The sequence below is a fragment of the Homo sapiens genome, chromosome 2, assembly GCF_000001405.40.
Source record: "Homo sapiens chromosome 2, GRCh38.p14 Primary Assembly".
Lineage (NCBI taxonomy): Eukaryota > Metazoa > Chordata > Mammalia > Primates > Hominidae > Homo > Homo sapiens.
The window spans coordinates 176310570-176336549 of record NC_000002.12 but is presented as its reverse complement, the minus strand read 5'-3'; the positions used below and the strand labels follow the sequence as shown (position 1 = coordinate 176336549).

The 25980-nt window shown below is 34.5% G+C and overlaps 1 protein-coding gene across 5 annotated transcripts in view; it reads right to left on the bottom strand.

The window, feature by feature from the left end:
* Positions 1–25980, bottom strand: part of MTX2 (metaxin 2) — a 68584-nt gene that overhangs the window by 1476 nt on the left and 41128 nt on the right. For 3 of the 5 annotated variants that reach the window (NM_001006635.3, NM_006554.5, XM_047442985.1), the window contains 6 exons: positions 13086–13158; positions 9649–9725; positions 8165–8257; positions 7638–7676; positions 7124–7249; positions 5890–5966 (listed from right to left, as the gene is read on the bottom strand). In NM_001006635.3, coding sequence (NP_001006636.1) covers positions 5890–5966; positions 7124–7249; positions 7638–7676; positions 8165–8257; positions 9649–9725; positions 13086–13158 — 485 coding nt within the window. The remainder of the gene's footprint in view (positions 1–5889; positions 5967–7123; positions 7250–7637; positions 7677–8164; positions 8258–9648; positions 9726–13085; positions 13159–25980) is intronic. The other 2 variants (NM_001319097.2, NM_001319098.2) reach the window with 2 other exon arrangements.

The following is a 25980-nucleotide window of genomic DNA, read 5'->3' as shown; positions in this document are numbered from 1 at the left end:
ACATAAATTATAAAGTTGTTTTAATAAATACAATTTATTAAGTGTTTTAATAGATGCATAAACAAAATGCTGTCAAAGCACAAAGGATTTCGCTGTGGTGATAGGACCAAAAAAATGATACCCAATCACAAATCAACAACAAGACACAACTTTAATTTTACCACATTTAAAGTAACTTAGATTTCTGAAGGAGACAAAATCATAAGGATGGCTTCAACATAAAAATTTCTAGGAATTTTTTTCTCTGTAATTATATATTACTAACAACAAAATGAAATCTACCCCACTACTAATGATCTATAAATGGGGCATCACCAATTTACATTATATTAAAATAATTACTAATGCACTATTACTAAAACAAGAAAATGTCATCATAATTACGAGCTAATTATTACTGTGTCCCACAGTGATAAAGTTTTTGAGAAAATATGTGCTAGCCTACATAAATGTGAAAATATGTTGCAGTAATCTGGTTTGGCAGAATAAATTTGGGGGTTGGTAAAAATCCAAATTTGAACTCCAATACTATCACTTACTAGCTATGTGGCCTTGAACCCTATTGATAAGTAGTCTCCTAGAGATGCATGGCTTTAAATACCATCTTGATGCCACTGACTCCTAAATATTTATCTCTGGTCCTAATGTCTCCCCTGAGCTCTGGATTCATACATTCAAATGCCTACATAACATCTCCACTTCAATGTGGAGTATCTGTGGAGCAGGATGTGGAGCATCTTGACTAAGATGTGTGGGATACTTTATTTTCTCAATAGCAGTAATTTACAGTATCCCAAACCTGCTTGTCCCCCAAACTTCCCAAAATAAAAGGCACCACTATCCAACCAGCTGTTCAGGCCAAAAATTTAGGGGCTACTCTTGAGTTCTTTCTTTCACCCTCCTATATCCATTAGCAAGTCTGGTGAGACACTACCTCCAAAATATGCCCTGAATGCCACCACTTATTCTTCATTATGATTTCACAGTGTAACCTACCATCATCTGTCACCTAGACCACTGAGATAGCCTCCTAAAGTGTCTTACTGCTTCTACTCATTCTCCATACCATGGTCAGAATGACTAATGTCAGCAGATCATACCAACTCCAAGCACAAAATATTCTAATGGATTTCTGTTCTACTTATACTAAAATGCCAAACTCCTTACACTAAGCACACAGAGCCTTGATAATCTGGCCTCTGCCTGCCTCTTTAGCCTCATATCCTACCATTCATAGCATACAACCCAAACTGGCCTTGTTTCTTGCATTTGAACGTAACAAACTCAAGCCAATTAGGGAACCTTGACTATAACTATTCCTGCTGCCTAAAATACTCTTCCTCTGACTTCACACTGGCTCCTTATTTTTTAGAATAAGGTTTAAATGGCACATCTTAAAGTCTCCTCAGACCACTCAAATTAAAGTGGACATGTAGTCACTCCTTATCATGTGGTCCTTTTTTAATTCTACATTTGATAATTAATACCATATAATTTTTTTTTTGCTTATTGTGCATCTCCTCTACCAGAAAGTCCTGTAGAGAAAGGACCTCACCTACTTGGTTCCTGCTGTAACCCCAATACCTAGAACAATTCCTTGCACAAAGCAGGAATTGTGCAATAAATTTGTGTTGAATGAACCAATAAAAAGGTGACACACTTCTCATACCATATTATAACTGTGTTCACTTAACTGTTTCCCTCACTACACTCCAAGCTCTTCAAAGGCAATGCTGTATATATCTTTATATTCCCAGTTCTTAGCACAGTATCTAAGGAACTGAAGTAGCACTTGCCGAATAAATACATGAATTAAAAAAGAAAGCATCCTAAGATGTGTGGAATATTTAATTTTCTCAATAGTAGTAACTTACATTCTTTGAAAGCCTTCCACTCTTTTGACATTCATGAAGTGTTAATCAAAGTCAAATGTGCAATCTATGGCCATGTTTAAATGGGTAGCCAACAGTATAGTTTTAAAAAAAAAAATCTCAAGGGTCCTTAGACTCAACAGCACCATAATCTTATCATCACAGGAATGAACCAATAATGAATAGATCCCTGCAAAAAACCAAGGATGTAGAGTGGATAAATGGGGAGCTGAGCTGAGGCACTTGGTGAGAATAATACAAACACCAATTCTTCCACATCCTTAAACATATTTCTTAAGAGGTACATCTTATCTTACCAATTTAGAACTTATTTTCCTAATCCTTGTTTAGTGCCAGCTACCCTATACTTCTTGTACTAGAGCCTAAAAAAGGTGCATATATTCTCTGATGCAACTTCCAGTAGTATAGATGGGCACCCTTTATTAATAAATGAAGGCTCTGAAAGAGTTCAACTATCAATGTATGCTCAAATGAGAGTGCTCCAGAAGTACCCCTGAAGTGGTTTGTTGCAAATATATATCCACATAACTCCAGAGGTACTGAATTATATATGGGCATGAGCATATAAAAACTGATCTGATTTTACATAAAGACAGCAACTTTGTGGCAAGTTACTTTAGAACATCAACAGAAGTAGAATTCAACAGATTAAACCAAAGCACATACAGTTGTGTGTTGCTTAACAGGAATACATTCTGAGAAATGCACTGTTTGGCAATTTTCTCACTGTGTGAACATCATAGAGTCTACTTACACAAACCTAGATGGTGCTATACACCTAGAGTATATGGTACACCCTATTGCTAATAGGCTACAAACCTATACAGCACATTGCCAAACAGAATACTGTAGGCAACTGTAACACAATGATAATGTGTATTTATGGTACACAAATACTTGTGTATTTAAACATATCTAAACACAGAAAAGGTAAGTAAAAATATATTACAATCTCAAGGGACCATCATCATATATTTGGTCCATCACAGACTGAAAGGTTGCCATACAGGGCATGACTGTATATATCCACACACACTAACCTTTAAAGCATATTTTTTGTAATTTTTCCAAATTTGAGCAACTCCTTACACTGACTCTGACATATATAAATTACTGATTCCAACAAGTCTTTTTAAGAAGTACAAATAATATTTTAGTTGATAGGTGACAGTTACACAACTGTATGCCTTTGTTAAAATTCATAGAACTACACGCATAAAAGTGCCAATTTTACTAGATGTAAATTACACATCAATAAACCTGACTTAACAAAAAGACAAGTAACATATTTTATCCAGTATTTCTACTGAACTATTTAATCAAGTCAAGATCTTCATATACCTCCAATTTTAATTATCTTGCTATATCACGTGAAGAGAAAACACAACTTTCTACCCTTCTGCTTACCAAATAGTTTGTGATTATAATTCAAATATAGATAGCAATTCCCCTCCTATGAGCTCTAAGATGTTTCATATATTATTGCATTTATCTTTATAGACTTTTTATTAGAAAAATATTCCAGGGTGACAAATATATTTTTAAAGTCCTAAGAAATTTGATGCCTTCTTACATTATTATTCTTTCCACATTCCTGTTGGTTATCTACTATTTTTTCATTTGAATATCAAAACAAAAACAGTAAAATTCAACGTTTTCATAACATTTTCCATTTAAGATTTTTCTGGCACTCAGTAAAATTCAACATTTTCCTAACATTTTCCATTTAAGATTTTTCTGGCACTCATATTTTTTGCTTTGCTTATTCATTATTTCACATTTATTTCTCTCTGATACCTTCATAGTATCATCTATATTAATGCTTTCAAAAGCATTAATTTTGTCTGAGTGTTTCCTAATTGTTCTTTCCCATTAACTTTTCATCTCTTTATAGTACTAGAAATAATCTACGTTATCTTTTCTTTACATCCTAATCACTTATCTTTAGGGCTGTCACCCAAGTTTTGTAAATCAAGCCCCTTGCTTTTTGGCCTCTTTTCCCAATTATTATTCTTTCTGTGAGATCTCCCTTAACTACCCTTTTCCTTTTCTCTCATCAAGTAACGGTATTTGGTTTCTTTCACGAGTCCTCCCAACATCCCCAGTAGTTGAGCTAGAAGGAAAGTTAATTCTAATTTTAGGGGATTAATTCTAATTGTAGGGGGTTAATTCTAATTTTAGGACTGGCATACACATAGAGAAATTAGAGTAACTTAGAGATATGTCAGAGCCAAGAATAGAATTCAGACCCTCTGACTTGCAGTATAATACCTGACTTAGGCCACAGCTCTATTCAACATAGTATCTCACAAAGTAATGACTCCTGCTACAGATAAAGGAATGAGAAAAATGTTGGCACAAGGAAGTGAAATACCAGTTACTTTTTTCTAAATGTACTTTATTTGCATTTTAGTATTAATTAAATGATCGAATAAAATTAAAAATCAAATCTCTTCTATCTTTAATCTTATTTTTAGGGAAAATGTTTATCTAAGTATCACGCAAAGGAAAATTATGTCAAAACTCTACATCATAATATCAATTAAATAGTTCCTCAAAAGCAAGGCTTTGGTGTTTGAACTGTTCTAAGTTAGAAGTTTTCATCACAAGTGTAAATGTAATTGTGCCCTTATGAAGAAAAATGATATCTTGATATTTCCACTGAGTCACATGCCAAACTCTGGTTACTAACACAATGACAATGAGTTTAACTGAGAAGAAAAGTAAGTTAGATCTATTCTCCTGGCCTCCTCTAAAGACAGTGTGCATAACAAAACTAAAATAGAATAATGCATTTCAATAAAACACACCCCTTCTGAGCTTTTCAATTCCTAAGAATTCCTCTGTTAGAAAGAAAAGAAATCACGTAATATTGACATTTGGATACATTTCTCTTGTGTTAGGGACTGAAAAATAGAATCTGTAGAGCAAACATCACTAGAAACAGGAACAGAGTTGTAGAAGCTTTACCCACCAGAATTTCACAGTTTGAATTCTGAAGATTTTTCTGCTTCAAAGATCAACAGAACCCAGATTTTAATATCAATTATATATGTATATATTACTTGTGTTATAGATTAATATAACTTAAATATTTCCAAACTATCATCATAGCCATTTTTACTACAAATATTATCTTTACCCAAATATGTTTGATATGGTTATAGAAGAGGAATGCTTATGACGATATAACACATAATAGCAAATAAAGCCTTTTAGAAATTATTAATCTAAAAATCAAATAATTTTTATTAAAATGTCAAGAAAAGGTCAGACTTTCTAGGGAAAGTTTTGAGATTAAAATGCTTTAAGCCCATCTTACACTGGATCACAGGACAGCTGATTCTGATATATTAAAATTGTAATTTTTTAACAACGGAAAATTCATTCTTTGCCTTCATTAGAGTCTTTTCAAAACTGCAAAAGCAAATCTATTAATGAAACATTATTCAACTTACATATATACACATATATTTAACCTATATCCTTTATATTAATTTCTGTGTTTTACAAATATTTTCATTAACATTTTAAAAGATAAGTTCATAATAGTGCTTGTCCATCAAACAATATTTTTTAATATTTAGTTTTATTGACTCTTCTAATCCTCCAGCTATCATTCTATATAGAAAACCATAGTTACATTAATAGTAACTTACTTTCCTTCATGTTTAATAGTACAAGTTTAGAATTTTGTTAAGATTTTGTAGTTCCATGTATAGCACCTTGAACTACCTCATTAAAACCTTATCATACAATGATTGATTTACATGACTGCCTTTAAGAGAAATTCTTAATGATAAGGACCATATTTTAGAAATCTTAGTCTCCTAGAGCCTAGCACTGTGCCTGAGAGTAAAGTGCCACAAAAATATTTGAGTACAAAAATTATAAAAATAGCTAAATATTTTCTTGAAAAAGCAATTCTTTTATGAAAAAAAGAAATTTGCAACCTAACAGTACAGAAAATTAACTTTAAAAAAGTAAAATTTCTTACTGCTTATTGAAGAAATACGGTTGTGTTCCCAGTCTTTGAGAGAGAGCTTGACAGCACTGGTCTACATCCTCTAAGACCTAACACAGGCAATGAACCCCAAGGAAAAGTATTTCAATTAGCAAAACAATAAAAAGTATCTAAAACGTAACTTGTATCACAGTTTATAACAAAAATATAAATTTAAGTTAACCTTTTATAATATATTTTAATAAGACCATAGACCACATATATATATAATACTTTCTATATAAGAAATACTTATAAGAAATACTTTCTATATAAGAAATACTTATAAGAAATACTTTCTATATAAGTATATATATATAATACTTTGTATACAAGAAATAGGAAGAAATTCTCAGTGAATGTCCTTCAAAATACAAGTACATTTAAGTTACTTATAAGGATTTTGTCAAGAACAAAAGTGTCTTCCTGAATCCATATATTCAAATGGCTTTGCATATACCAAAAAATCTGCTTAATAAAGGTAACAACATTGACCCACTATGAGTAAAAGCATTTGAGTTATTTTCCCACTAGTGGAGATAGATTTTTATTTATTCTATCCCTATTCATTTACTGAAACCCCCTTGTAGCCAATGGCACACATCAGTGAGATGGCTGGCTAGTATTAAGGGTAGCCTTGGAAAAGACGGGCATTAATTAACTTAATGATGCTTGTGGACAAGATAAGTATTTTTAAGTTTTGCTACTTTAGTAGCAAAAATATAGATAGACAGATAGATAGACAGATAGACAGATAGATAGACAGACAGACGGACAAAGTACTGTATTTAACAGGGCTTTTTTTTTAAGCCCTGATGCTGCAGATCTATATTTAGTTACATAAAAGGTGCCCACAATGTATTGTTCAATTAAAAAAAAAAAAAAACCCTCAGGTTATACAGTAGCAGGCATAATGATCCCATTTGAGAAAATGTTACTAAGAAACATCTAGAAGAAGGCTCTCCAAATAGTTAAGGGTGGTATTTTCTAGGTGATGAGATTTCAGGCAAGTTTTATTGCTTTTTTACACATATCTGCATTGCATTGTTTGCTTTACATCAAGCATGTATGATTTTTTAGAAATAAAATTACTTCATGTTAGTGAAAATCACAGGAAATGGTTTTCTTGCAAATCTTATATATATTTTTTTAAAGGAGTATCAATATAAAGAATGATTCTTTTAATGCATAAAAGTTGAGGGTTTTGTCAACTTCAACCTGAACTGACCTGGTCCAGAGTCTTCTTTCCCCATCCAATAGCTTTCATCTTACGTTTGACTTCCCACTGTTTTTGATAGGCCAAAATATGATTCAGAGGCCAAGGGTAAGGAGATCCATACCTAGCATGAGTGATCTAAAGTAAAAAGATTTTGTAAAAAAGGTGATCCTTCCTAAAAACAATGCCCGTTTTTACAAATAGAATTCTAAAAGAAATATATTTTCAGAGAACATAAATAGAGCAATCTGAAAAAAATACACATCCTGCAATCTAAAAAATTAAAATTTTAAGCCATTCCCTTTAAAAATATATAAACTTTTATGTACTTTGCAACCCGTTATATCAAACAATGACACATAGCTTCCCTAAAATGTTATGTGCAAGCAAAATTAAAGTAAGTGAAAAACTATATCACTAATGGTATAAACCACAATGTTTCATTTATGAGCAGGGACTTGCGATTCTGAGCAAAAGTGTTTTCTCATTAAATTTTAATTAAGATAAATGTTACAGAACCACTCACCTCCCCTACTGTAGCTTCATCACACCACTGAAGATACAGCTAGGAACAAAAGAACAGTCACTAAACTTTAGAATACCAAAGAGGAAAAGGATAAAGAAAGTTATTTTTTGCCAAGGCAATTTTTTATAAGCTAATTTCATAAGTCACACATGTAGCGGTTTGTTTTTCTTAGCTGCTATCCACAAAAATGTAATGATGGTACGTTATAAAAATATTTTTTATTCACACAATACATGTCTAAATACCATTAAAGTGTTTTACAGATATTATTTAAGCAAATTTCAAAAGGCCAAAGTAAAATAATGAGTAGGCAAGAATCACTCCTTTTTATAAACAGAAAAACTAGAACTGAAAATGTCAGGTAACTTGTTCAAAGGTAATAATCAAATAATTTAGGTAGCCAACTCAACTCTAGAATTACTTGACTATTTTCCCATTTCTCAATAACTTTAACCCATAAGAAAGATTATATTTTATGAGAATGAGAGAAAAAGCTTATTTTCAAGCCGTATCATCTAGTATTTTACCTCTGCAGTCAACAGCATATTGTTGACTAATTCCATGTAAGCTTTCATTTCTGCTTTTTGGACTTCCTCCAGCCCATCACTAAGAGAATGGCCCTAAAGGGAATTTAAAAAAATTTAAAAGAACATCATATTAAATATACAAAAACTTTCAGTTATCTCACTAACAAATAACGTAACATGCAACTATACAATGAATTAAACGTCCAAAATGCCCCCTAAAAATTATTTTATATAAAAGCATAAATAATACTCTGCTATCACTACAAAATATTAGTATGTACTTACTTGTCATTATACAAATGTATCTTTCAATAGAGAAAATTACACTATCAACTACTTCACAAAAGAAGAAAACAGAATGGTCAGCAAACCTTGTTTAAGAGATTAACCTTATTTAGAAATAAAGGAAATGCCAAAAGACTGACATGTGCTGTTTATAAAGTGGTCAAAGATGAAAAAAATACGTTTGTAAAGATATGGGGGGAGAAACCCACTTATTTTAAAATTCTAATACTCTATAGTTACTAGGAGATACATAAAATGATATAACCTTTAGTTCAATCTGGCAATCTATTACAAGATTTAAAAAGTACATAACCTATGACATCCTAATACCACTCTCAGGAATTTATCCTAAGGTACCAATACCAACCTTAGGAATTTATACAAAGATGTATATATAAGAAAATTTATCTTAGTACTCTATAAAAACAAAAAATTGGCCATGACCTAAAAGCCCAACAATAAACTTGAGTAAATAAAATTCTAATTTATCCAATACAGGGGGAGGGTGTTGAAGAAAAAAAAAATAATATATATATATATTTTGGAGATATATATATATCTCCAATACAGCAGAATACAACAATGTGAAAGGATGATATATACCTACAGCTATTAATATGGAAGAATTTCCAAACATATTTATGATTTTAAAAGGTATGTTGCAAAATAATACACACTAGTATGATCTAGGTTTTTCTATATATTCAAAAAGTCTGGAATGATTTTTCAGAAACACTAATGGGAGTTGTTCCTTAATAACTATTAAAATCTAAACTGAATAAATGAAAAGCAGAATCATTCAAATGGATAAATACATTCAACTTCAAACAAATCCTGTATCTCCCTTTTCAAAGGTCAGCCAGACACTTCAAAACCTAATAGTTTTTCATTTATGACCACAGTTGTAGTAAGCATAAGTTAGAAAATTATCTACCATTTTGTAAAGATCAAACCATCTCTTTAGACTAGATATTAAAATTACATACCTTTAATAAATTTGACATTAATAGAGGAAAAAAAGCTACCTCTTTTGCCATTATATCATGAAAAAATACTAACTTACACTTCAGAAATATTTTCCAGTAGTTTGCATTGGCATTTTATAAAACTAGGTTGAAATCAATGTAAATGTTAAGACACATTAAAGAATGATGAATGACTTGGTAACTGATCAAATACATTTAATATCTTTTTATTACCTTGGCTTTAACAAATTGGACTATTGGACCAAGTTCTGATACTACTTGATTTCCCACATGAATAAAAGGTACTTTACCTGTTGAGAGAAAAAAAAAGTATTTATAAAAATACTTCCAGTATGTTAAAGTTTGTGATAATTAAAAAAAATTAACACAAAACTCAGGTATTTATAAATAGGGATTTCATAAAACTGTAACTTTTGAAAATTTTTGTCAGATGTGTATATTAAATTCTGTAAGTTTTTAAACTGATTACTAACCAACTTTAGAAAAAAAGAACAGGTAAATTCATTTCTAGAGTTCTCACTTAGATATAATAACAGATCACATAACATTCTCTTTTCAGAGCCAACACAAACATATCACCATATAGCAGCAAACACTAATTATCCAAATTACATGAACCAAGCCAGGACACTGGTACATGACCACTGATATATTTCAAAGAAATGTAAGCTTTCTTTTCAGAGTACAGTGAATCAATCTATATTGTAAACTACATTTAAAAAACCTTTTTACATCTTTTAAGTCTTTGATACCCATTGAGATCAACATTTTAAGCAAGTAATTGTATATCAATAAATCTCTTTAACTCAAAATAGCAAGAATTAAAAGAATTAACAATCTTTGAAGGCATGCTAGTTGGTGAGTTGTAATACAGAGTATGTTCCCAACATGTGGGAAAAAATAATAGTATGTTTATAAAAACTAGCTTCTATAGATAAATGTCACATTAAAAAAGAAATATTTCACTTTAACAAATACTAATACTTGGAATTATTAGAGATGAGAGAACAAAATAATCTCCAAATAGCAAGAAGGGTCTACTCCAAATGCTAAAGAATGAAACCTGCTGTCACACCTAGTTCAAATAGAGTTCACACTAACAGCAGGCTTCTTCCTGTTCCTTTTCAATAGATTCACTCCTCTCTGGCTCCGTCAGCCTGGGGGTAATGGATGAAGTACAGAGGCCTAACAAAAGCTTCAACTGCATCCATAGGACAACATGCATTACAAAGAAAAGGCAGGCCTTTTGGAACACAACAACTCAATAGATGTATTGAGAAGATATTTCCCTGTTGCCAATTCTGCATTCCTTCCTTCTACTGCTTTATAAATCTTGCAAAAAAAAATTTTTTTATCTGGTTAAGCATTAGGCCACATTGTTTTCTTAACTCGGGATAAAATCTTTGTAACTACTATACTACCAGAATTATTACAGGTCCCCTGAGATCAAATGATCTGAGAATGAAAACTATTTAGTACCTAGACAAACAGTATTTGGGGGTATAATATTTTTAGAGCAAAGCATATTCCTTGTTTTTAATGACCAGTTTCAGGTTCTTGGAAAAAAGGGTTTGTATTTTTTTTCTTTTCTTAAAAATACATTGAGCGTTGTCAATTCTGAAGCAAAAAGAAGTGTGGATAGTCAACTGAGTATTAATCTTATATATCTCTAAATATAAAGAGATATATAAAAACAAACACAACAAATTAGAAGTGAATAATGTTTTCTGTCACTAGCCTGCTTAATGAAAATGGAGCCAATGTTATATCCTTATTATTGCAGGTATCAGGCAAAAACACAGTAAGACAGTTATTTTCTGGTGCGAATCAAAGGTCATATAAGAAAACTGAGGGCTTTGTTTACCGTCTTAGACAGAATAATCACTTTTAAAATTTTTATTCTAAAGAAAGCAAGAATATGTTGCCAAACAAGTTGGCAGATTCAAAGAATGCAAGAAATAGGACCTTGGATGTCATCTAATCCGGCTACCTTATATTACAGATGAAGTCACTGAGGCTCAGAGAAGTGAAATTTCTCAAGGAAATAGTTAATATGTGACAAAGTCACAGAAGGATTAGTTAAAGATTTCCTAACTCTTTAGGAAATAAGAGTTTAAGTCAACTGGTCTTCTGACTAGTCCATGCTCTCTGCTTTAAAAATCTACCGCAAGATCAAAGAAGCAAATACAATAAAAAACATTTCCCTATCACCTCAAATCATTAAATGAAAGAGAATACCAATCTGAGATATGATAAAGTTTAAATATCTTAGTAGAAAGTGCCATTTTCATCTACCTATAGGAGACTCCTATGAAAGAATGTATATTTTTGTATGTCTCTAGAATATTTATGTTTGTCTTTCGCGCAATCTAATAAAAAGAAAATAGGTATCTACCTAAATGACACTAAGTATAGTAATTTTAGGAAACAGGTAGATAAACTATATTGATATCTCACTTGCCAAAGATCTGAACTTTAGCATTAGATTACTAACCTTCTAACCTTTTTACATAAATATACAAACTGTTTGTATGACTACATAGAGGAAAAGGATGGACAAAACACAACATAACTTATTTCACCAGAACTCTGTAGTTCCTAAAATCTACGTATAAAACCAACACAAAAATGAGTCAATGAATGCCCTCCAAGAATCTAAAATATGTTTACATTTACAAGCCTAGAAATTATTTTATGGAAATGTTTTCTAAATGTATATTCATAAACCTCTAAAACCAGGTATTTATATAAAAGAACATTATGTACAGAAGGGGTGTCTTCATACCTTTTAACAATTTCTACCACCCTTAAAAACTTAAGGTGGAAAAAAAAAATTTAACACAAGTCACTCCTAAATTATCATATCAAAATGAAAAATGTCTCCCTAAAAAGCAATGTTACACACTTATACCAATCAGTTATACTTAATAATTTATTCAAAAAGGAGTAATTCTACGTATTATTGCTCCAACAAAACCATAATTACAATAATCATCCATGATAATTATATATAACATTTATTTATCAGCTTTGTAGCACATTTTTATATTAAAAATTTTGAATTATTTATTTAAAACAGTAATTTAATCTACTGACATAAAGATAATACTGATTTTAAAAAATAGGAAGCTAAAGCATCTCAAAACCTGTTAAAATTAAGCATTAGAAAAAATAATTAGAAACCAAAAACATTCAGTGATGACTTCAAGATCTAACGACAAATTAATTTTTCTACAATCTCTCTTCTTCCAGCTGTATTATGGGAGAATATAATTAAGAAAGATGTGTGGAATAATAAATGGATTCATTATTACTAAAATTTGTTTTCTCAACAGGAAAGTCTTATGTACATTAAGACTAGGGAAATCTGAGATCATGTATTTCCTTAACATTTACTATTTAAAACAATTCCCTTACTATTAAAACCATTTCCACACGTCAGTAACCATCTCTGATCACAGTTGAAATGAATAGATATGCCAACCCCAAGATTGTCAAATTTGCAATTGTTACTTTCTAAAACCATGGAAAGATTCTTCAAAGGGTAAACAAAAAAAATCAGGCATTTTAACATGTAGATACAAACTGGACTATCACTATAATTTTATCACTCCATAATATTAACAGAGAAGAAAAAAAAACACACTTACCAGATGGAGACATATATTCTGCATTTGCCCTACAAACTACTTTGATAGGCAAGTTACACATTTGCAAAAAGGCCTGTAAATCAAGATACATACAATAAGCCCAGTAAAAAGCATATGCATATTTGAACAGAAATTTGTATGCATTTCTTTTCTAAACTGAATAGTTTCATACTACAAAACTCTAATAGAAAACAATGAACCAATTTAAAGTGAAGGATTTGTTTTCCAAACAAAAATGTCATGTCACTACTTAAAAATCAGTATGATTTAGACATCAGTAAATACATGAAACTTAAAGTATGTATGTATACCTAAGGAATAAAATGTAAATTATCCACATTTATGTTACTGTATTAGTTTATGTAAACCAGCAATACTATATATATAGCTTTAATTTTCTTAAGTAGATGACTAAAGTCCAAATTTTATAAGCTATTAATTGCTTCATTCCACTATTTTCTATAGGATCATCATCTTCCTCATTTTAGAGGAAAACTCAAAATACTATCTCTGCTACCTCAAAGTTCTCTCCAGTAATACCCTATATTCCAACATGTAGTTTCTGTGCTCACGAATTCACTTTTTAAAGACTTAAATTGTTTATCTTTGCTCATAGTTACAAAAATGTTATAAGCAATTTAAATGTCTAATAATAAGGGTATGGGGTAAATCATTATAGTAAATCCAAACTATGGAATGCTATACACAATCAATTTTAAAACTCATGCTTTAGAAAAAATTTTACATCAAGAAAAAATGTACACATTATAATATTAAGTAAAAAAATGCAAAACTCTATTACTAGATCACACTAATTCATTTTTAAATGTTTTTAAGACACCAGTGAACTCTGCCAAACCCACTGTTTTTTACAATACTCAAAGTCCACTCCCCTTGTTCTCTCTTCTATGACTTCTTGGCTTCTTTTTCTCTATTCACAAAATTTACTATGTTATTTCTATAAAATAATTCAGTTATTCAATTGGGGAGGTCATAAGTTACAATGGTTCTAATTACCACATACAAATTGGAAGACAAACCTTTTGTCTATTTTGAAATTGAAAGTACTATAAATAGCTGTCAAAAGTAAGATAAGATAAATTAATAAATTAACAAGGATATTATTTATCATTTTACTCAACAGAGATTTCTCATAGGTTTATTATAATTCCTTCCTCAACTCTACATTAGAAATAAGTGTTAAGACTCTTAAGTGTTAAGGGTACAAAACAGTGATTAATATCTTGTACAAAGAACTCCATTTACCCAAAAGTATGTCAATTCTCTTCTGTTTTCTCAAAACTCCAGTCCTTTAGAGATGCCTGCCTCCAAAAATAAATCCCACGTGAGTCTGATTCCCCCACTAATTGCATCCTCTGATTCTTACATTGCTCTGTAACTTATGTATGCATGTCTGATCTCCTCAAGTAAATGGCATCTCTTAGAAAAGCAAGGGGGAGATTTTTAATTTTTTTTTTCAATTCTGTTCTCCTTCCCCCAATCTCCCTCATTTTCCCACAATTCATCTTTCATAGTGCACTACTTATAATAAGCAATATTGTTTACTGATTGAGCCATTCAAAGCTCCCAAGAGCTTATCCTGGTAGAGGCTGTTATCCCTGCCACATATGTTCTCTCCTTTCCCTACAGTGGTAGAAACTATCTGCACACAAGGCTGCCTAAAATAAAAACTTATTTTCCGGGCTCCCTTACAACTGGGTATGGCCAACTGGACTAAAAGTTCTGGACAACTGCTGGGAAGTTTCTTTAAAAGGAGAAAGTATCTCCTCTTTTTCCTCCCTGTTGACTAGAATGTAAAAAGGATGGCTATAGCTATAGCAGCCAAACAGAACCATGAAGTAGCAGCTGAGTGTTAGAAATGGTAGAGCAACAAGAGTAAAGGGGCCCAGGTTCTTGATAATCATGTAGTCACCAAACCTGGATTACCCGTGTTTGTCCGAGAAGTGAACTACCTTTTTAAGCTACCACTATATTGGGTTTCTGTCACTCACTGCCAAATCCAATCTTAATTAATTCACCTACAGTTATGATTTCTAAGTTTAAACACCATCCTGCCCCACCAGAAGTTGATTCTTCTGTGTCTATTTAAGTGGAAACTAACGGTCCTTTAAAACCTATAACCAGTGATTCCAATTCATAGCAATAATAGTGAGCTTCCTGACTGACCCACAAAGATAGGGTAGGGTGGTGATTCTCAAACTTCAGCATGCATCAAAATCATGTCAAAGCATGGCTTGCATGGAAAGAATTAGAGAAAATGAATATAAACAGTTCTTTCAAAAAGCCTGGATCTGAAAACAAGGAAGAAGGGAGGAGAAGAGTTGCCTCCCTTCTATTACATATGAAGAAGAGTGGAGCTTATTAAAACACAAAGAGAAAAAAAATAATGGAGATAGGCTGAAATTACATAAAACAAGTGAAATAACTGATATACAAGATCCATGTGGCCAGAAGCAGTGGCTCACACCTGTAATCTCAGCACTTTTGAGGAGGCCAAGGCAAAAGGACCACTTGAGGCCAGGAGTTCAAGACCAGCTTAGAAAACATAGGGAGAACCCATTCCTACAAAAGAGTTTAAAGAATTAGCTGGGCATGGTGGTGCACACCTTTAGTCTCAGCTACTCAAGAGGCTGAGGTGGGAAGATTGCTTGAACCTGGGAGGTCAAGGCTGCAGTAAGCCATGATCACACCACTGCACTCCAGCCTGGGCAATACAACAAGACCCTGTCTCAAAAAAAAAAAAAAAAAGAATAAGTAAAAAGGGAGGAAGTAAGACCTTAGCTGGAGAGATCTGTTTTTGTCAGAACAGGACACTTTTTCCACTGTAATGCAAGAGGTGGTGGGGAATCAGTGATGATGACTGAAAGTTGATAAGAAAGAACAAGAATGTGAGTGCTCATATTTTACGAAATAGAAGGAGAAATCTTTTGCTGAGAATGAAAAACTAAGAAGGGATTGAGGCCTTCAGTAGAACAAAAAAGAGTTTGAAATAACTGTTTAATATATCTTCTCAAAGGCCTGAATAATATTCAACTGTTAATAATAATATTGTATAAAATAGTAAATATAGTATATTTTGCTAAACTACATGCGTAGTGGTAACTATGCTAATTAATATTCCAAAATGCTGTATTTCACTTAAAATAAAAGCAGAATTGTAATGTTCTGCAATCAAACCTATGCTTCTTTTTTTTTTGAGACACAATTTCACTCTGTCGCCCAGGCTGGAGTGCAGTGGCACAATCTCAGCTCAATGCAACCTTCAACTCCCAAAACCCATGCTTCTTAGTCCCATGCTTTTTATTTTTTTATAAAAACTAACTGACAATTTTACCAATTAAATGACACTCAACTTACTACAGACCTCAACTGATAGCATAATTCTAGTTAGTCAATTAATCTGTAGTTCACAAAAAAGTTTGATGTCACAAAGCATTTTCATCCAAACTTTAAAAATGCAAAAACAGGCCAGTCCCAGTGCTTCCAGAGGCCGAGGAGGGAGCATTGCTTGAGGCCAAGAGTTCACGACCAGCCTGGGAAACATAGTGAGAGCTTCTCTCTACAAAAATTTTTAAAAATTTTTGGCTCATGCCTATAATCGCAGCACTTTGGGAGGCCAAGGCAGGTGGATCACAAGCTCAGGAGTTTGAGACCAGCCTGGCCAACATGGTGAAACCCTGACTCTACTAACAATACAAAAATTAGCCGGGCGTGGTGGTGTGTGCCTGTAGTCCCAGCTACTCAGAAGGGTGAGGCAGGAGAATCACTTGAACCCGGGAGGCAGAGGTTGCAGTGAGCTGAGGTCGCACCACTGCACTCCAGCCTAGGTGACAGAGCAAGACTCCATCTCAAAAAACAAAAAACAAAACAAAACAAACAAAAAAATTAGCAGCATGTGGTGGCAGGCACCTATAGCACCAGCTACTCGAGGAAGCTATGGTAGGATAGCTTGAGTCCAATAATTAAAGGTAAGCTATGATCACGCAAAAAAAAAAAAAAAAGCAAAGCCAAAACATCACCATGACTATCTTCAATAATGTAAACACCCTAAAACAATAGCAAGGTTTGACTCAAACAGTATTTCCCCTTTCTCTTGAAAGATGGAAGAAAACACTGGAGAGGCTCACTGTCACCTTCCGCTTTGACTTTCAATATCTTATCAGCACAAAAAATACTCCAAATAACTGGCATGGCACACTCATCTAAAATATATTTTCTTTTCAATTCGGAAATAGCAATCTGCATATTTTTATTCTTATGGAAGTCAAAGAAAAATGTATTTCAAATTATAATAATGAATAATGAACTTGGAACAACTCAGCTAACTCTTATTCCTCGGTTGAATACTTTATTCCAAACTAATTTAAATGAATAACAACATAAAATAATTTGAATAAAACACTTAGCACATCCTATCAGAATAACGTTTTATAACTATGCTGTCCAATATGGTAGCCACTAGTCACATGTGGCTCCTTAATTAATGTTTGAATAAAATTTTAAATTCAGTTCCCTAGTCACACTAGCCACATTTCAAGTGCTCAACAGGCACGTGTGGCTAGTGGCTACTGTATTTATTGAACAGCACAGATTTAGAACACTTCCATCTTCACAGTGTGATGTGATGATGTCTACTGGATGTCTATCAGACAGCATGGATATATAACAACAGTAATCAGTACATAAAGGAGACCTTAGCAAGAGAGGCTGACATCATCTGAAAGTGATTATAGCAAACATTATTTTTAAAAACCTGCATAATAGCACAGTGTCCAAAAACCCTGCAAGTGATACAATCAACTTTTGATGATGGTGACACATTAAATACTATATTTCCAATTTCTGAGAGAATATAAAGATTTCTCATTTGCTGAGCAACTCCAATTGCTAAAATGAGGAGGCAAATGTATTCTTATGTGAAAACTAAGAACTAAAGAATGAATTAAAACTGCACCCATTCTTTATATATAAATTTAGTGACTACCTGGTAGGAAATTTTTGAAATGCACACATATGTATATGTACACGTAACATAATTGCCTGTACCTGATTTCTAAGACCCTGAAATTTAATCAGCTTGATGTAGTTTCAACATATTGAATACATTAATTGAATTCATAACATCAAAAAAATTCACTTGAAGGGGTAAGGTATCAGGGGTAGGGTTTTTTACTTTAAAAAAAAATTCACAGGAAAAAAACTATTACCAGATCATCAATAACTGGTTAAACATGAAGGACTAAATTTACACATTTATCTCTGCAACCTTTAAAAAAAAATCTATTAAAATAACAATGAAGAAACAGAAAAGGTATACACCCAGAAAAACATTAAGAAGAGCAGAGGAGACAAAAGCAGACCAGAGATGTCAACCCATTTTTCTAAGATGGAAAGCAGACTTAGCAGGGCAGAGGGCAGAGGAAGCTGAAACCTAAGAGTTTGCACAGTAGAAAATCAATACATTTGCATCACAGAAACTAGGAAGATTCCAAAATTGGAAGCACCAAGTAACACAGAAGGCAGAGGTGAGACACAGGACAGCAAATAAAGGACTGGATGAAAGTCTACATAAGCATTAGACAATTAGCCCTCCCCCAGTCTAGCAGGAGACAAAGGTTTATTCTTTGGAGAAACTGAGCTAGAGGGACCCAAACAGCAGAGGGCACTGGGTGAGGTGCCACTCTGAAAGAGGCAAAGTTAAGGGTAAGTATACATACTGATCGAGGTTCACACAGGATCCCTCTCCCTCTCAGCTCCCAAACATAGGATATCACTCCAGGATATCTCTCTGGAGAAAAAAAATCTACATATTGATGGTTTTATTGGGGGTGGGGTGGGCTAGGAATAGTGACAAACAAAAATGACCTCTCAATATATAATCAATCTACAGTGACATCCACATGTCAAAAAGTCCCTCATCTCTTTAGCCTCACTCTTAACTATAAATTGTTAGCAGAGATCAATAGATACTTGAGGAAAGCCTCAAACAAAATACAGAGCCAAAACAAACCACAGAAAAAGGAACTGGCAAACAAAACTGCAGAGAGCAAGACAACTTCACTGAAAAATTATAATGGTGAATATTTACTGAGCACTTACTCTATGCCAAGTACTTGCACAAGAACTTTACCCTATAAGGTATGTACAAGTATCACTATCTTAACATGAGAAAAAAGAACAGAGATCAGGGTGTAGAGAGAGGGAGGGAGAGAAAAAGAAAGGAGGGAAAAAAGGAAGGAAAGAAGTTATGCGCCTGGTACATAACAGGCAGATAATGATTACCAGATGAATAAATAAATGAACATATGAAAATGTAAAAAATATTGTCTAGTTTTAGTCATGTGAATTTTTGAAAACAAAGCAACAGAAACTTCTGAAAATAAAAGTTTTTGTTTTTTTTTTTTTAAAAAAGACACTTAGTCAAAATCCAAAACACAATTTATAGTCAACCACTGGTTGTAATATACAATCAATGTGACCTTTTGAGGGCACTTTGGTAAGGTCTACCAAAATTCTATACATACATATCCTTTGAACTAGAAATGTTATTGCTATAAATACATAATATGAACATATATGTATAAAATTATACAAGATATGTGTAAGGATATTCACACTTAAGCCCTATTTATAACAGCAAAATAATCAATAGTTTGATACCTATCAATAAAAGACTGGTTAAAACAAATTGTGACGCATCCATCAACGGAATATTTATAGCCTTCAAAAAAGAATAAGGTTGGCTGGGCAAGGTGGCTCACACCAGTAATCCCAGCACTTTGGGAGGCCGAAGCAGGTGGATCGCTTGAGCCCAGGAGTTCAAGACCAGCCTGGGCAACACGGCAAAATCCCGTCTCAACTAAAAATACAAAAAAATGGACAAGCATGATGGTGTGTGCCTGTAGTCCCAGCTACTTGGGAGGCTGAGGTGGGAGAATCACCTAAGCCCAGGAGGTTGAGGCTGTAGTAAGCCGTGATCACACCACTGCACTCTAGCCTGGGTGATGGGCATAAGACCCTGTCAAAACAAAAACCAAACAAACAAATAAATAAATAAATAAAATAAAGAGCAAGGTTGCTTCTCAACTGGATTTCTTACACTAAATTCCAAAAGACATTTCTCCTCTGGAATCTCTAATAAGGGCTACTGAATTATACAAGATGACATATGCCAAATGCAAAATTGCTTTTCATGAGGCTGTTTCTTCTAATGACCTAGAGCAAAACATTAAAACATAGTTCAAAAAGGCCTACAAAGGCTATTTGGTCCACTATGAAACTTCCTGGTGAGCTAACTTGCCAGAAAGACATAACTTTGAGGACCTACAAAAATAAATTCAACATGTATATACTGAGCACCCACTATGTATCAAGGACTGTCCTAGCTACTGGGACAAGCAGGCAACATAAAGTCTTAGTCCTTATGGGGTTTACACCACAATGGATACAGATAACAAGCAAATAAACCAGAAAATATGCATGGTAATTCCTGCTACTTAGAAATACAAAGCAGTGTAAAGGTATGGCTATTAAATATAGGGTAGTCAGATAAGGCCTCACTAATAAGGTAACATTTGATCATAAACCTTAGAAAGTTAGGGAGCAAGCCATGCAGATATCTAAGGGGAGAACAGTCCAAGTTTAAACACCTGAAGCAGGCTTGTGCTTCAACTATGTTTCAGCAACAGTTAACAAGACCAGTATGACTATGTGGGAGTAAAGAAGTGAGTACTAAGAGATGGGATCAGAGAGGCAACCAAAAATATCATTTAGGACCTTATAGGTAATTGTGAAGTCTTTGGCTTCTACTGAGTGAGACAAGAAATCATTAGAAGGTGTTGAGCTGGGGATTGCTGTAATCTGACCGAACCCTTCAAAGGACACAAACAACTACACAGAGATTAGACTGTTGAGAGCAGAACCACTGAAGCAGGAGAACTAATTAGGAGGCTTTTGTAATGATCCAGGCAAGATATGATGGTGGCCTGGACCAGGGTGGGAGTGATGAAAGTGATACGTCAGATTCTAGCTATATTTTTAAGGGAGGGTCAAGAAGTTCTGCTGATAACTCGATGTGGATATAGGAAAAATAATTCCAAAAATGACTAAAAATTTCTGGCATAAACAACTAGAAAGATGGAACTGGTATTTACAAAGCTAGGAAAAACTGTGGGGTGAGCAGTTTTTGGTGGAAGGAAGGGGACCTACATGTCTTTAGATTGTTGTCTCTAATTATCACTTTTTGGATAGACTTCTGACGAGAAATGAATAGCAGACAACTCTACTCTTTTTTCAAAGGCCTAGAATTGCTAAGAGTACGGCCATGTGCTTTGAAAACCAGATAAGCAGGTTCTATTAAAAATTTGAGAAGCCCAATCCTCAAGGCCACCCAACCTCTTTTATGCACACAACTGACAGAAGAGCCTACAAATGTACATCATACTATCTGTTAGCACTTCCTGCAGGTATGATACTTATCAAGGTGCTAAGAAATGAGAAGAACTACAGATGTCAGGCAGAATAAAAATATAATCAAGGACCATCTTCATCTTTGGTCTTTTCTGCTTCCTGCACCTATAGCGTACCAAGTTTAAAAACTGAAAAGTCAATTTAACGTCTTAGTTAAATGAGAAGTTTTAAGAAGCTGTCCCATAAGAGCAGTATAATCTTCTGAAAATTTACTGAGAAGTTACACATGAAGGAACCACTGTTAGCTTGAATCCTTTAAAATCTCAGCAATTATGGCCCAATCTTCAGGACGTCAAAAGTAAACAAGCAGGTCTTATAATTAAGAAAAGCAGGTAAACAGAATAACATTAATGTGTAAATCAACAAAACAAAACATCTTAAATATTATACATATCTAATTTCAAGTCTTCAATCCCAAATATACTAATAATACTCCAGAAAGAAATGTTGGAGGAAATCAGTGAAACTAAATGTAAAGCCAAAAAGTAACCCAATTATTTTACAGAAAAAAGTAAATATATTGGGTTTTTTTTTTTTTGAGACAGAGTCTTGCTCTGTCACCCAGGCTGGAGTGCAGCAGTGCAATCTCGACTCACCATAATCTCTGCCTCCCAGGCTCAAGCAATTCTCATGCCTCAGCCTCCCAAGTAGGTGGGACTACAGGCGTGTACTACTACACCCAGCTAATTTTTTGTATTTTTAGTAGAGACGGGGTTTTGCCATGTTGGCCAGGCTGGTCGTGAACTCCTGGCCTCAAGTGATCTGCCCGTCTTACATTCCAAAGTGCTGGGATTAGAGGCGTGAGTCACCACCGCACCCAGCCCTTTAAATATGATGGTTTCTGACACGAGTAAGGGAACAGACTCTACAACACTTTTTAAAATATCAAATATACTTTGCTTTAACTGCATTAAGTTAAAAAAAAAAGAAGAAGCAATACACAGTTCAGAAAATGGTAAAAAGGGCTCAATGTGGTTGAATGGAAATAGTCAGCCTTGGTGGCTACTGTGCACAAGAATGACGCTAACTCATTGAGATTGCTGTCCTTACCATCCTTTATTCTTACTTTCTGTTGCTGAGTCATAAACCCTACCACTCATGACTGGGCAACCACCAGCACATTTTACTGATTAAGTACCCTAGCAGAACCTAATGGATCCTAACAGAATACAGATTTTGAAAGCAAGTTACCTAAGTGAAAAAAAGATTCGAGTGAACATACATTTAATTTAAAAGAAGGAAATCCTCTGCATCAGTCTTAAGAATCAGTATAGAACAATAAGGCCAGGTGCAGTGGCTCATGCCTGTAATCCCAGCACCTTGGGAGGTCAAGGCGGGTGGATTATTTGAGGTCAGGAGCTCAAGACCAGCTGGCCAAAATGGTGAAACCCCGTCTCTACTAAAAACACAAAAATTAGCTGGGTGGTGGTGGTGCACACCTGTAATCTCAGCTACTTGGGAGGCTGAGGCAGGACAATCACTTGAGCCTGGGAGATGGAAGTTGCAGTGAGCCAAGATCACACCACTGCACTCCAGTCTGGGAGACAGAGTGAGACCCTATCTCCAAAAAAAAAAAAAAAAAAAAAGAATCAGTGTAGAACAATAAGAAGTTAATGAGCAGAAGATCAGAGAGAGAGCTCTCTGGGTAGAATCCTGGGAACTGTGTTAGCTTGAAAAAGTACCTTTATCTCAGAAGCTTTCTCATTTCTAAATTAGACAATCAGGCAGATTAACTGAAGTTCTATATGTAAAACATTTTATACACTATCTGACACAGAGTAATTCAAAAAATATTAGGTATTATTATTAATAGTAGTAACAACATTCATAATAATAAATACTCATTTGTTCATCTGCAAAGGAAGAAAGACCACTTAACCTTGGTGACTTCAAAAGAAAGCTGGCTTCATTTATTTTATTACCTTTTAATGTCTCCTTATGAGAAAAATTAAAATAATTATTATGTACTATAATTTAATTGTATTTACTTCTATAAAATCAAAATACCAAGATTGTGTACCGAAATAAAAACTTCTAGAAAGATGTTAAAAGAATAAAGGAAAATAACCAAAAGTACTTTTCTTTCTTTCTTTTTTTTTTTTTTTTTTTTTGAGATGGCATTTCACTGTTGTTGCCCAGGCTGGAGTGCAATGATGCAATCTCGGCTCACTGCAACCTCCGCCTCCCAGATTCAAGTGATTCTCTCACCTCAGCCTCACGAGTAGCTGGGATTACAGGCATGCGCCACCACCCCTGGCTAATTTTTTGTATTTAGTAGAGATGGGGTTTCACCATGTTGGACAGGCTGGTCTCAAACTCCTGACCTCAGGTGATCCACCCGCCTCAGCCTTCCAAAGTGCTGGGATTACAGGCGTGAGACACCACACCCGGCCCAATAGCACTTTTCAAAAGAATAGTGAATATATGCTCTATGTTTTCAATATATATAATTACATAATATCATCTTTTCTAACAAAGCAAAAACAAGATATCTAAATATTGATATAGAGGTTTGTGAATAATTTTTAGAGTCATACACACTGATAAAACTGATAAATGAACTGACAGAAGGACTCCATCCCCCAAGAATATATGGTTCGTTAGTATACATAGACAATGTCTATCTTGTTTACTACTTTAGTCCTTGGCATACAATAAAGTCTCAATAAACATTTGCTTAATGAACAAGCCATAGATATTCCTAAAAATAAATGCAAACATTCCTAAGTTCACAGAAAGCTAGTAAACTATAGCAAAAATTAGCATTTTGTAATTTTATGGGTTCAGAGCTCACTGCTTTAAAAAGTTAGATGTAACTCTTGTTAAGTTCAGAGATATTTTAAAAAATCAATAGTTACAAATATCAATACGTTGATACTGCTTTAGAAAACAGTAACAGGAATTCAACTTAAAAACTATTAATAATGATCTGCACACAACTGCAAGAGGGCCGAACAGGAATGGCTCCAGTCTGCAGCTCCCAGCATGATCAACGCAGAAGATGGGTGATTTCTGCATTTCCAGCTGAGGTACCTAGTTCATCTCACTGGGACTGGATGGGCAGTGGGTGCAGCCCATGGAGGGCTAGGAAAAGCAGGGTGGGGCACTGCCTCACCCAGGAAGCGCAAGGGGTCAGGGGATATCCCTTTCTTAGCCAAAGGAAGCCATGACAGACTGCCTGGATAAACGGGACACTTCCACCCAAATACTGTGCTCTTCCCATGGTCTTAGCAACCGGCAGACAAGGTGATTCTCTCCCGTGCCTGGCTCAGTGGCTCCCACGCCCACAGAGCCTTGCTCACTGCTAGCACAGCAGTCTGAGATGGATCTGTGAGACAGCCCCCTGGCTGGAGGAGGGGTGTCCTCCATTGCTGAGGCTTGAGTAGGTAAACAAAGCCACCTGGAGGCTCAAACTGGGCGGAGCCCACTGCAGATCAACAAGGCCTACTGCCTCTACGCTTCACCTCCATGGGCAGGGCATAGCTGAATAAAAGACAGCAGACAACTTCTGCAGACTTCAATGTCCCTGTCTGACAGCTCTGAAGAGAACAGTGGTTCTCCCACCACAGCGTTTGAGCTCTGAGAACAGACACAATGCCTCTTCAAGTGGATCCCTGACCCCCGTGTAGCCTAACTCGAAGACACCTCCCAGTAAGGGCCGAAAGACACCTCACATAGTTCGGTGCTCCTCTGGGACGAAGCTTCCAGAGGAAGGAACAGGCAGTAATATTTGCCGTTCTGCAGCCTCCACTGGTGATACCCAGGCAAACAGGGTCTGGAGTGGACCTCCAGCAAACTCCAACAGACCTGCAGCTGAGGGACCTGGCTGTTAGAAGGAAAACTAACAAACAGAAAGGAATACCATCAACATCAATAAAAAGGTCATCTACACCAAAACCCCATTTGTAGGTCACCAACATCAAAGACCAAAGGTAGACAAAACCACAAAGATGGGGAGAAACCAGAGCAGAAAAGCTAAAAATTCTAAATCAGAGTGCCTCTCCTCCTCCAAAGGATAGCAGCTCCTCGCCAGCAATGGAACAAAGCTGGACAGAGAATGACTTTCACAAGTTGACAGAAGTAGGCTTCAGAAGGTCGGTAATAACAAACTACTGCAAGATAAAGGAGGATGTTCAAACCCATAGCAAGGAAGCTAAAAACCTTGAAAAAAGGTTAGACGAATGGCTAACTAGAATAAACAGTGTAGAGAAGACCTTAAATGACCTGACAGAGCTGAAAACCATGGCACGAGAACTTCGTGACGCATGCACAAGATTCAATAGCTGATTCAATCAAGTGGAAGAAAGGGTATCAGTGATCGAAGATCAAATTAATGAAATAAAGTGAGAAGACAAGGTTAGAGAAAAAAGAGTCAAAAGGAACAAACAAAGCCTCCAAGAAATAT